Raw genomic sequence first — 14,190 nt, 5'->3', positions numbered from 1 at the left:
CCTAACAAATATGAAAAGAAAGATCTGGGCTCAGTGATCAAAAATAGTTTGATGAAGACATGATTATGAACTTAATCCTATTTCATTTCCAGGCACGATGGGATTTGGGAACTAGATTTACTCTTCTGCCAGCAACAACAAAAACAAGCAAAATTCTTTTGAAACTTAAGAAACTAATTTAAGAACAAGGCACAGTGGTGTGCTCCTATAGTCCTAGCTACTCAGGAGGCTGAGGCAGGAGGATTGCTTGAGCCCAGTTCGAGGCCAGCCTGGGCAACATAGTGAGTCTCTGTCTCTAAAAAAAAAAAAAAAAAAAAATTAAGAAACTGGAAGAAGAAGAGCAAATTCAACTAAGGGTGAGCAGAAGAAAAGAAATAATAAATATGAGATACAAATAAATAAAAAAGAAAAGGCAAAAACAGTAGGAAAAAATTAATGAAACCAAAAGCTGGTTCTTTGAGAAGATAATAAAAGTGATAAATCTCTAGCCAGACTTGTCAGGAAAAAAGAAAGAATATATGAATTATCAATATCAAGAATGTGAGTGGTAACATCACTAAAGTTTCTATAGTTATTAAAATAATAATATGGAAATATTATAAGAAACTTTTTACATATCAATTTAACAGCATAGATGAAATGGATAAATTTTTTGAGTGACAGAAACTATTAAAATTCACTCAAGAAGAAATAAGTAACCTGAATAGCCTTATATCTATTAAAGAATTGAATTTGTTTTAAAAAATCTTCCCACAAAGAAAAGTCCAAGTTGCTTAACTGGTAAATTCTAAATAATGTAGAAGGAAGAAACAATATCAATTCTATACAAATTTTACCAGAAAATTGAAAAGTAGAGAATTTTCCCCCAAATAATTCTATAAGGCCAGTATTATCCTGATACCAAAAACCAGACAAAGACATTATAAGAAAACTATAGACAAATATCCCTCATAAATATGGTTGCAAAAATTCTAAAAATATTTTTAGCAAATTAAATGCAATAATATATAAAAAGGACAGTACATCATAGCCAAATACAGTTTAACCCAGGAATGCAAAATTGGTTTAACATTTGAAAATCAATGTAATTTATCACATTAACAAGCTGAAAAAGAAAAAGCATATGATCATCTCAATAGATGCAGGAAAATCATTCAACAAAATCCAGCATCCATTGATGATAAATCTTCTCTACAGAGAAAGATTAGAAGGGAACTTCCTTAACTTGACAATGGCCTTTATGAAAAACCTACAGCTAACATCATACTTAATGGTAAAAGACTAAGTACTTTCTACCTACTATTGATAATCATTCTCATCATCTCTGCTTAACATCATACTAGAGGTTCTAGGCAATATAATTTAAAAAGAAGATACAAATTAGAAAAGAAGAAGTAAAAATGTCTTTATTTACAAATAAAATAATTATCTATGTAGAAAGTCGACAGGATCTCCCAAAATCTACTAGAACTAATAAACAAAAAATAGATATAGGCTGAGCATGGTGGCTCAACCCTATAATCCCAACACTATGGGAGGCTGAGGTGGGAGGATTGCTTGAGCCCAAGAGTTCTAGACCAGCTTGAGCAATTTAATGAGGCCCTGTCTCTACAAAAATAAAAAACAAACAAAAAAAATTAGCCAGGCACAGTGATTCATGCCTGTAGTTTCAGCTACTTGGGAAACTGAGGTGGGAGGATTGCTTGAGCCCAGGAGTTCAAGGTTACATTGAGCTATGATTGCATCACTGTACTCCAGCCTGCAGGACAGAGCAAGACCCTGTCTCCAAAACAAAAAAAAAAAAACAAAAAACTATTAGAACTAATAAATGACTTTAGCAAGGTCTCAAGATACAAGATTAACATTCAAAAATCTATTGTATTGTTATACATCTGTAACAAAGAATTATAAATTGAAATTTTGAAATATCATTTACAATAGTGTCACAAATATAATACTCCAGCTCTTTCTTGATTCATAAAAATTTTTTAATTAAAAAACATTAAATACATAGAGATAAATCTGACATAAGATGTGAAAAGCCTACACACTGAACACTATAAAACATTGTTGAAAGAAGTGAAAGAATAACTTAATAAATGGAGAGTCATACTTTGTTCTGATCCAGAAAACTAAATATTGTTATGATGTCAATTATTTCCAATTTGTTCTACATATTCAAAGCAATTCAAATCAAAATCCCAGCAGACTTTTTTTGGAATTTGCAAATTGATTATAAAATTTATGTGGAAATGTAAAGTACTGCAATAACCAAAACAATTTTGGAAAAAAAAAGAACAAATTTGGAAGGCAAATACTACCTGATTTAAAGACTTATAAAGACTTATACAGTATTCAAGACTGTGTATTATTGGTGTGAAGATAGAAAAATAGAACAAAACAATAGAATTGAGTGGTATGGACTGAATGTTTGTGTCCTATTCAAAATGTATATGTTGAAACCCTACTGCCCAATATGATGGTATCAGGAGGTGGGACCTTTGAGAGGTGATTAGGTTTAGATGAGGTCGTATGGATGGAGACCTCATTAATGGAATTAGTGTACTTATAAAGTCATGAGAGAGCTTGCTTTCCCTCTCTGTTCTCTGCTATGTGAAGATACAGCAAGAAGTAAGCCATCTACAACTTGGAGAGGGCCCTCAGGAGAACCCTACCATGCTGGCACCTTCTCTTGGACTTCCAGCTTCCAGAACTATGAGAAAAATATTTTTGTGGTTTATGAACCACCCAGTTTATGGTGCTCTGTCATAGCAGCCCAAACTGACTATGACAAGAGAGTCTGAGAAAAACACCCACATATTATGGACACTGATTTTTAACAAATGTATGAAGAAAATTCAGTGGGTCAAGGATAGTCTTTTCAATAAATGGTGCTGGAACAATTGCATATCCAGATGGAAAACAATGAACTCCCATCCATACCTCATATCATATGCAGAAATTAACTCAAAATGGATCATAGCCGAAACATAAAACCTAAAGCTATAACATTTCTTATAAATAGAATAAAGTCTGTGATACTAGGTCAGGTAAAGATTTCCTAGGTATAGCACCAAAATCCATAAAAGAAAATTAAAACTGGGCACAGTGACTCATGCCTCTAATCACAGCACTTTGGGAGGCTGAGGCGGGAAGATCACTTGAGCCCAGGAGTTCCAGACCAGCCCTGGCAACATAGAAAGACCCTGTCTATACAAAAAATTTAAAAACTGGCTGGACATGATGGCACATGCCTATAGTCTCAGCTACTCTGGAGACTGAGGTGGAAGGCTCGCTTGAGCCGGGGAGCTTGAGGCTGCAGTGATCTGTGATGGTCCCACTGCACTCCAGCCTGGATGACAGAGTGAGACTCAGTCTCAAACAAAAAGAAAAAGAGGCCGGGCACAGTGACTCACACCTGTAATCCCAGCACTTTGGGAGGCCGACGCGGGCGGATCACGAGGGCAGGTGTTTGAGACCAGCCTGGGCAACATAGTGAAACCCCGTCTCTACTAAAATACAAAAAATTAGCCGGGCATGGTGGCGGGCGCCTGTAATCCCAGCTGCTTGGGAGGCTGAGGCAGGAGAATCGCTTGATCCCGGGAGGTGGAGGTTGCAGTGAGACGAGATCACGCCATTGCACTCCGGCCTGGGTGACATTGCAAGACTCTGTCTCAAAAAAAAGAAAGAAAGAAAGAAAGAAATTCAACTTCAGAAAAATTAAAAACTTCTGCTCTTCAAAATATACTGTTAAGATAATGAAAAGACAAGTCATCAACCAGGAAAGAACATTTCAAAGGATACATCTCATAAAGAACTTGTACTCAGAATATATAAAGAACTCTTACAACTACATAAGAAAACAAACCTCCAATAAAAAATGGGCAAACTATTTGAGCTGTTGCTTCACCAAAGAAGCTATACAGATGACAAATAAGCATATGAAAAGATGCTCAACATCATTAGACATTAGGGAAATGCAAATTAAAACCACAATAAGTTACCACTGTCCAGCCATATAATAGGAAATTGTTGTCAAAGATGTGAAGAAACTGGAACTTCATACACTGCTGGTGGGAATACAAAATGATACCAATTAGTTTGGAAGATTTTCAAAAAGTAAAATATATATCTATCATATGATCCAGCCAACTCCTAGGCATTTACCCAAGAGGAAAGTAAGCATATATTTATATAAATACTTGTACATTAACATTCATAGCAGAGTTCTTTGTAATAGCAAAAAACTGGAGCAATCCAAATGTCTATTAATGTGTGAATAGACAAACTGTGATCTATCCAAACAAAGGCACACTACTTACAGTAAATAACAATGAACTACTTATATACACAACAGCATGGATGAATCTCAAAATAATTACACTGAGTGAAAGAATCTAGAAAAAAATAAGGCACACTGTAGTATTTCATTTATATAAAACTCTAGAAGATGGAAAGTCATCTATAGTGATGAAAATAGATAAATGATTACCTGGGGAGGGGTGGCTAGAGAGGGGCAGAAGGACAGGGATACAGGAAACTTGTGTGGGTGATGAATATATCCCCTATCTTGTGTGGTGATTGCTTGACAGTATATACATATGTCAAAACTTACCAAATTGTACACTTCAAATACATGCAGTTTATTGTATATCAATTATATCTCGATGAAAGTGTTTAAAGACAAAAGTGATAGTTTGGCAAGAACTTAAAGGAAGTGAGAAAATTCACCTTGTGGATAACTAATGGGAGATTTTTGAAAAGTTATTAACAAAATCTGTGCAGAGACATTTGGATTTTTTGTTTACCCGGAAATTTTCCCTTCTTCTGGTGTAATAGCACCTTCTGTATCAGTTAGGATTTGTATTGGCTGCAAGTGACAGCAAATTCAACACAGTAGGAGCTTAGACAAGTTAAAAGTTTAACTTTTCCCTTCCATAAATCTAGGCAGTTTAGGGTTGGTAAGATGATAGTCAGGCAGGCAGACTTAGGAAATGCTGTCTCTATTCTTTTTTTTTTCTTTTTTTGAGACAAAGTTTTGCTCTGTCACCCAGGCTGGAGTGCAGTGGTGCCATCTTGGTTCACTGCGACTTCTACCTCCTAGGTTCAAGCGATTCTCGTGCTTCAGTCTCACAAGTAGCTGGGATTACAGGCGCCTGCCACCATGCCCAGCTAATTTTTGTATTTTTAGTAGAGACAGGGTTTCGCCATGTTGTCCAGGCTGGTCTCGAACTCCTGGCCTCAAGCGATCCACCCGCCTCAGCCTCCCAAAGTGCTGGGATTACAGACGTGAGCCACCACACCCGGCCCCAATTTCTTAAAATAAGACAACAATGATGTTTGTCACCTGAATTGACTCTTTCTTTCATGAAAGATTTCTCTAGCATGCGATGTTGCTTGATAGCACTTTATCCATAGTAGAACTTCTTTCAAAATTGGAGCCAATCCTCCCAAACCCTGCTGCTGCTTTATCAATGATGTTTATGTAATACCTAAATCCTTTGTTGTCATTTCAACAATGTTCACAGCATCTTCACCAGGAGTAGATTCCATCTTGAGAAATTACTTTCTTTGCTCATCCACAAGAAGCAACTCCTCATTGGTTCAAGTTTGATCATGAGATTGCAGCAATTCAGTCCCATCTTCAGGCTCCACTTTTTTTTTTTTTTTTTGAGATAGAATTTCACTCTTGTTCCCTAGGCTGGAGTGCAATGGCACAAACTCGGCTCACCGCAACCTCCACCTCCCAGGTTCAAGCGATTCTCATGCCTCAGCCTCCCGAGTAGCTGGGATTACAGGCATGCACCACCATGCCTGGCTAATTTTGTGTTTTTAGTAGAGATGGGGTTTATCCATGTTGGTCAGGCTGGTCTTGAACTCCCGACCTCAAGTGATCTGCCCACCTCGGCCTCCCAAAGTGCTGGGATTACAGGCATGAGCCACCATGGCTGGCCTCCACTTCTAATTCTCGTTCTCTTGCTTTTTCCACATCTGCAGTCACTTCCTTCACTGAAGTCTTGAACCCCTCAAAGTCATTTGTGGGAGTTGGATCAACTTCTTCCAAACTCCTGTTAATGTTGATATTTTGACCTCCTCCCATGAATCACATATTTTTTTAGAGATAGGGTCTCACTAGGTTTCCCAGGCTGGAGTACGGCGGCTATTCACAGGCACAATCATGGCACACTGCAGCCTTGAACTCCTGGCTTAAACTAATCCTCCTGCTTTAGCCTCCTGAGTAGCTAGGTGCATGCCACCGGATCTGACTTATGAATGTTCCTAATGGCATCTAGAATGGTGAATCCCTTCCAGAAGGTTTTCTATTTACTTGTCCAAATCTGTCAGAGGAATCACCATCTACGGCAGCTATTGCCTTAAGAAATGTATTTCTTAAATAAGACTGAAAATTTTGAAGTAAATCAAAATTACTTTTTTTTTTTTTTTTGAGACGGTGTCTCACTCTGTCACTCAGGCTGGAGTGCAGTGGTATGATCTCAGCTCAGCCTTGACCTCCCAGGCTCAGGTGATCCTCAGCCTCCCTGGCAGCTGGGACTACAGGTGCACACCACCACTTCTGGCTAATTTTTGTATTTTTTGTAGAGATAGCTTTTTGCCATGTTGCCCAGGCTGGTCTTGAGCTCCCGGGCTCAAGTAATCTGCCTGCCTTGGCTTTCCAAAGTGCTGGGATTACAGGAGTGAGCCACTGCACCCGGCCCCAAGTTACTTCTTGATCCATGGGCTGCAGAATGAATGTTGTAAGCAGGCATGAAAACATTCATCTCCTTGTACATCTTCATCAGAAGTCTTGGGAGACCAGGTGCATTGTCAAGAGCAGTAATATTTTTAAAATAATATTTTTTTCTTAGCAGTAGGTCTCAACAGTGGGCTTAAAATATTTAGTAAACTAGGTTGTAATCGTATGTGCTGTCATCCAGGTTTTGTTGTTCCATTTACAGGGCACAGATAGAGTAGATTTGGCATAATTCTTAATTGCCCTAGAATTTTCAGGCTGGTAGATAAGCATTGGCTTCAACTTAAAGTCACCAGCTGCATTAGCCCCTAACAAGACAGTCAGCCTGTTTTTTGAAGATTTGAAGTCAGGCATTGACTTCTCTCTATCTATTAAAGTCCTAGGTGACATCTTTCCCAATGTAAGACTGTTCTGCCTACCCTGATAATCTGTTGTTGGCCAGCCGTGGTGGTTCACGCCTGTAATCTCAGAACTTTGGGAGGCCAAGGCCGACAGATTGCTCGAGTCCAGTTGTTTAAGACCAGCCTGGGCAACATGGCGAAACCCTGTCTCTACAAAAAAATGCAAAAATTAGCCAAGCATAATGGCACGGGCCTATAATCCCGGTTACTTATGAGGCTGAGATGGGAGGATCACCTGAGCCCAGGAAGTTGAGGCTGCCGTAAGCCATAATTGCACCACTGTACTCCAGCCTGGGCGAGAGAGGGAGACTCTGTCTCAAAAAAAAAAAAAAAAAAAGAAAGAAAGAAAAGAAAAGAAAAGAAAAAGAAAAAAGAAAGAAAGAAGAGAAAAGAAAATTTGGGCTGGGCACCGTGGGTCATGCCGCTAATCCCAGCACTTTGGGAGACTGAGGTGGGCGGATCACTTGAGGCCCGGAGTTCAAGACCTGCCTGGGCAACATGGCGAAACCCTGTCTCTATGAAAAATACAAAAATTAGCTGGGTGTGGTGGCTCAAGCCTGTAATTCCAGCTACTCAGGAGGCTAAGGTGAAAGGATCACTTGAACCTGGGAGGTGGAGGTTGGAGTGAACTGAGATTGCGCCACTGCACTCCAGCCTGGGCAACAAGAGTGAAACTCCGTCTCAAAAAAAAAGAAAAGAAAAGAAAATCTGTTGTTTAGTGTAGTCTTAGATCTTTGCTAGATCTTCTAGATAACTTGCTCAGCTTCTACGTCAGTGGTTACGGCTCCACCTTGTGCTTTTACATGATGGAGGTGGCATCTTTAAACCTCACAAACCTCATGAACTAACCTCTGTTAACTTTTCTTCTGGAGCTTTCTCATCTCTCTCACCCTTCATAGAATGGAAGAGAGTTAGAACCTTGCTCTGGATTAGGCTTTAGCTGATTTAATCTTCCATCCAGATCACTAGAGTTTTCTCCATATCAGCAATAAGACTGTTCTACTTTCTTACCATTCATGTGTTCACTGGAGTAGCACTTTTAACTTCCTTCAAGAACTTTTCCTTTGCGTTTACAACTTGGCTAACTGTTTGTGCAAGAGGCCGAGCTTACAGCCTATCTCAGCCTTTGACATTACTTCCTCACTAAGCTTAATCATTTCTAGCTTTTGATTTAAAGTGAAAGACCTGTGACTCTTCCTTTCACTTGAACACTTATAGGTCATTCTAGAGTTATTAATTCACCTAATTCCAATATTGTTGTGCCTCAGGGAATAGAGAGGCCCTAAGAGAGAGAGACAGACAGGGGAGTGGCCAGTCAGTGGAACAGTCAGACCACACATAACATTTTTGGATGAAGGTCTCTGTCTTATATGGGTACGGTTCATGGTGTCCCAAAACAATAACAATAGCACTGTAAAAGATCACTGGTCACCGTAACAGATATAATAATAATGAAAAAGCTTGAAATATTGCCTGAATTACCAAAATGTGACAGAGACACAAAGTGAGCACATGCTGTTAGAAGCATTGTGCTGGCAGACTTGCTCAACACAGAGTTGCCACAAACCTTCAACTTGTAAAAATCACAGTATCTGCAAAGTGCAATAAAACAAAGCATGCCTGTGCCTAATATGTCCCCAGTTGTCAATAAAAGAGAAAACTTAGGGGCTAGTTTTGGTCCTTGAGCAGCATCTTACAGGGCCAATTTAACTAAAGAATTAACACTACATTCACAGCAAATCACATGAGAAGAAATAATAAATAGTGCACATATAAAAAAGATTCACACTCTGAGTTCTAATTAGGAAAATAATTATTAAAACAAAAGGAGGCTGGCTGGGTGTGGTGGTTCACGCCTGTTATCCTGGCACTTAGCGAGGCCAAGGTGGGCAGATAGCTTGAGCCCGGGAGTTCGAGACTAGCCTGGGCAACATGGTGAAACCCCATCTCTACAAAAAAATATAAAACAGCCAGGAGTGGTGACACATGCCTGTAGTCCCAGTTGCCCGAAGGGCTAAGGCAGGAAGATCACTTGAGCCCAGTAGGTTGAGGCTGCAGTGAGTTGTGATAGGGCCACTGCATTCCAGCCTGGGTGATAGAGTAAGGCCTCGACTCAAAACAAAAACAAAAACAAAAAACAAAAGGAGGATACATATATTGTAATATACTATTGCGAGAATAAAAATTGGTACCATGTTTGTAGAGAAAAATTTTCTAATATAGGTTGAGCTTCCATAATCTAAAAATCTGAAATCTAAAATGCTCCAAAATCTGAAATGTTTTTGCGCATTGACATGAAGCTTACAGGTCATTCTCAAAGGAAATGTTGATTGGAGCACTTCAGATTTTGGATTTTCAGATTAGGGATGTTCAGTTGATAAATACATGCAAATACTAAACAATCCAAAATCTGAAACACTTCTATTACCAAGTATTTCACATAAGGGATAGTCTACCTATAACTACCACAATTTAAAATGCATGTATCTTTTGACCAACAATTTTATTTCTAAGAAACTGCACTCTAGAGTTTAAGGGGATACACAAAAGAATATTCACTAAAACATGATTTGAACAAGTGAAAATTGGAGTCAATGTAAAATATTTGTTAATAAAAAAGCTTCAGTAATTTGTGGTGCATTCATGTGATGGTACATTTTTATAATAATTTTATAACAAGATCCTTTATAACTATGGCCCTATATTTATTATAAAACTGTTATAAAAAATAGAATGACCAAGAGTGGCTGATCACCTGAGGTCAGGAGTTCAAGACCAACCTGGCCAACATAGTGAAACCCCATCTCTACTAAAAATACAAAAATGAGCTGGGTGTCTTGACGCATGCCTATAATCTGAGCTATTCAGGAGGCTGAGGCAAGAGGATTGCTTGAATCCAGGAGGGTTGGTTGCAGTGAGCCAAGATTGCACCACTGCACTGACAGAGCAAGACTCCATCTCAAAAAAAAAAAAAAAGAATGAATTTAGGTGGTAGCATATAGGTAATATAGCGTAAAATGGAAAGAACAAATTATAGAATGAAATATAGAATATAATTTCATTTATTTTCCTTTATTTAAACAATACATATATATAGAATCTGCCAAAATTGGGGATTCCTCATCTCTCAGAGTAGGACTCTATTTTCATTTTTTAAAGAAGTCAGAAGATGAAAATTGAAGGATACATAGAGAGTGTTATGAGGGTTTTGGGGGGTTTGTTTAATTTAAAATACACACATACACACCCACACACACACACGTCTATTTTTAGTGAGGGTGGGGGTTGCTTTGCAGTTAGACCTGGCAATGTCTTGATACCCACCACATTACCCCTGCCCTTCTGCCTGAAGGTGGGCTTGCTCAGTGATCTGAAGAGGACTGGGCCCCACAGTGGGTTCTGCTCACTAGGCAATGAGCATCAATCAACAGGAGGGACATCTCTACTTCTGCTCAACCTCCGCCAAACTGAGTGAACAAATGCTCCAAAATGAAATGTTCTGATGCCTTCCATTAATTCTTTCAGGGCATAAATTGTGACCCCCATGGTGATGGCCAACTTTGGCCTCTTACCTCATTTGGGACCCTGAAGGACAGGCAGGTTTCTGCCCAGTCTTTTGTAGAAACACAAAAAGCAGGGCTGCTTTCTATTTGAAGCAGCTTAAAGTAGAGAATTTACAGATGCTCCAGAAATTCTCCCTTATTGGCCGGGCACGGTGGCTCACGCCTGTAATCCCAGCACTTTGGGAGGCCAAGGCGGGCGGATCATGAGGTCAGGAGATCGAGACCATCCTAGGTAACATGGTGAAACCCCGTCTCTACTAAAAATACAAAAGAAATTAGCCGGGTTTGGTGGCGGACGCCTGTAGTCCCAGCTACTCAGGAGGCTGAGGCAGGAGAATGGCGTGAACCCGGGAGGCGGAGCTTGCAGTGAGCCGAGATCGCGCCACTGCACTCCAGCCTGGGCGACAGAGCGAGACTCCATCTCAAAAAAAAAAAAAAAAAAGAAAGAAAGAAAGAAAAAAAGAAATTCTCCTTTATTGCAGATTATGAGCCCCATCTTCTTGGCAGGACCACACGGATCTTGCTGTACCTTGCTGAAGAATAATAGACAATAGTTATGGCCTGCTCATCTCACCTGCTCTGTGGAAAAACAGAATCATTAAGTAACAATATTAGGATATCATGGCCCCCCCAGGGGATTTCCTTAAAGATACACATAGACAAAGGTCTAGAAGGAGACACAAGAAACCATCCTTGTGGTTACCAAGAAGGAGCAAGAATAGGGAGGATGGGAGTAGGAGGGCTTTCTGTGTGTTTGAATAATTTACGAGTGATTATTACTTTCATAATTAAAACTCTTTTACTTCCAGCTGAGAATTCATGTTACATGCTCATTGTGTATATGTTAGAATGAACCCAAAAATATAATCTAAGGAAAATCTTTGCCCTGCATTTTCCAGTTCACCCCCATGGGGAAGTTGGGTGACTTTCTATTTAAGTATGCATACTGGTTAGGTGCTTTCCTTTCAGAAAGGGCATCAATTCTCAGTTAATTATGCTTTACTACACCTTGGAACTTCCACACTTCAAGTTCTCAGAAAATATAATCTTGAATTATCTGGTGTTGAATTCTTAGCAAACGTTTACTTGTAAGGATCATGTTGAGGAGAATTGCCTGATAGGATGGGCTCATTCCATAGTCATCCTAAATTTTGTCAGGTTTGGAGATAGATCCTTGGAGAGATTTCTTGGATTACATTGTCTCAATATCAATACCCACCTCCCCCATGACTTGGCCCTTTGCTGACCTACATTTAGCATTTGGCCTTGAATCTATACTGAGAGGTGTTTTAAGAAATACATGGCCAGGCACTGTGGCTCACACCCATAATTCCAACACTTTGGGAGGCTGAGGCAGGCAGATCACCTGAGGTCAGGAGTTTGAGACCAGCCTGGCCAACATGGCAAAACCCTGTCTCTACTAAAAATACAAAAATTAGTCAGGTGTGGTGGCACGTGGGAGCCTGGGAGTTCGAGACCAGCCTGGGCAACATGGTGAAACCCCATCTCTACCTGACTATAGTCCCAGCTACTGGGGAGGCCGAGGCAGGAGAATCACTTGAACCCGGGAGGCGGAGGTTGCAGTGAGCCGAGATCATGTCACTGCACTCCAGCCTGGGCAACAGAGTGAGACTCTGTCTCAAAATAAAAAAAGAAGAACAACAAAAAAAGAAATACATTACGTTCACCATTGTATAAACTGTAGGATAATTGTTGAGAATGATGGAACACACTACAGAGTTGGGCACAGTGGTATGCACCTGGAATCCCCGCTACTTGGGGAGGCTGAGGTGGGAGAATTGCTTGAACCCAGGAGTTGAAGTCCAGCCTGGGTAACATAGTGAGAATTTGTCTCTAAAAAAAAAAAAACCACCACACACTATTCCAAAATATGGCAACTTGGCATACTGAATATTTTAAGCTGAAGGAATTTGAGAAACAACATGTACAGGAAGGATATTCCGGCCTTCCCTTGAAGCAAGTCATAAGATCCTCATGTGAGAGATGCCCTCCCATACTTGGAGAAAAGGAGCATCCCTATCTCCATTGACACAGGAACACCAAAGGGAATCTGGGTGAACAGGCCATGCCATCTCCCAGTTTATTACATTTAGCTAGCTCATGCTTTTTCATTATCCTTTCACATTTCTCCATGACGCTTTACTCTTCATCAAACGTAGCATAAAAACTCTCAACCGCTTCTTCAGCTCTCATTTCCTTATGAAGTCACCTGTGTCATGTAAAACTTATATTAAATAAATTTGTGTGCTTTTTCTCTTGTTAATCTCTCTTGTTCCACTGGTCCCAGCCAATGAACCTAAGATGGGTAGAAGGAAAATATATTTTTTCTCCCCTACAAGAACATTGTCTACATATCACAATAACACAAGCAAAGCTGGTTTCTGTTTGAAAGTATCTGGTCCTCTTTTATCTTATAGACACTGTGAGTATTGTAATAGCTTTGTTTTTCCCTGGCCACTGGGAAATTCATTTATTTATTTAAATATCTGTAATAAGTTTCCTTTGTACCAGGCATCCAGCTGGGTTCTGCAGATAAAAATGATAAACAGAAATGAACATGGCCTGTGTCCTCATAGAGTTTATTATCTAGAAGTGAAGACAGACATCAATCAAATAATCACATAAATATAGTTACATCTAATTATCAATGATGATGAGTGGGTTGGACTGCAGAGGCATCAGAACTTTTCTTGGAAGTCAGGGAAGACTTCTCTGAATTGAGATCTGCAGGATAATTAGAAGTTTGGTAGAGGATGGGGAGAGGCAAGAAGCATTTTGGGAAGTGGGAACAGCATGTGCATGAGCCACGTGACAGGAGGGTTTATAGGCACTGGAGGAACTGAAAGAAGAGCCCTGTGGCTAAACGCAGAACATTTGAGGGACAGTGGCATTAGCTGAGGGTGGGGCAGAAGACAGGTGCCACTAAACCACTGAACTGTTTTAAATGACTAACCACATGAGCTATGATAAATAACTCAACCTTCCAAAGACTGTTTTCTAGGGTGAAAATCTCTGTTCCTTAAGCACACGGTGATGCTGAACGACCTACTGAGCTACCATTAAAGCTACAAACAAACGGCCAGGCGCGGTGGCTCATGCCTGTAATCCCAGCACTTTGGGAGGCCGAGATGGGCGGATCACGAGTTCAGGAGATCGAGATCATCCTGGCTAACACAGTGAAACCCTGTCTCTACTAAAAATACAAAAAAATTAGCTGGGCATGATGGCGGGCGCCTGTAGTCCCAGCTACTCGGGAGGCTGTGGCAGGAGAATGGCATGCACTCAGGGAGGCGGAGCTTGCAGTGAGCCCATCGCACCACTGCACTCCAGCCTAGCGGAGATCACGCCACTGCACTCCAGCCTGGGCGACAGAGCGAGACTCCCTCTAAAAAAAAAAAAAAAACCTACAAACAAATTTGAGCTAAACTTTCTCTAGGGAACAGCATATTGGAAA

The 14,190-nt window shown here is 40.1% G+C and overlaps 1 long non-coding RNA gene across 1 annotated transcript, besides 1 other annotated feature; it reads right to left on the bottom strand.

The window, feature by feature from the left end:
- Positions 1 to 1,970: 1,970 nt before the first annotated feature.
- Positions 1,971 to 11,108, bottom strand: LOC124904219 (uncharacterized). Its single transcript, XR_007066223.1, has 2 exons — positions 10,725 to 11,108; positions 1,971 to 4,070 (listed from the first exon to the last, which is right to left on the bottom strand). It is a non-coding gene; the product is annotated as an uncharacterized LOC124904219 (long non-coding RNA).
- Positions 9,962 to 10,011: a silencer, noted in NCBI's record as "silent region_1080". NCBI's record gives its function as "represses an Ori minimal core promoter by ATAC-STARR-seq in GM12878 lymphoblastoid cells {active_cell/tissue: GM12878}" and the evidence as "EXISTENCE:reporter gene assay evidence [ECO:0000049][PMID:35858748]".

This window comes from Homo sapiens, chromosome 1, assembly GCF_000001405.40.
Source record: "Homo sapiens chromosome 1, GRCh38.p14 Primary Assembly".
Taxonomy (NCBI): Eukaryota; Metazoa; Chordata; class Mammalia; order Primates; family Hominidae; genus Homo; species Homo sapiens.
The sequence above is the reverse complement of the archived record's forward strand: the minus strand, read 5'-3'. Positions and strand labels throughout refer to the sequence as shown.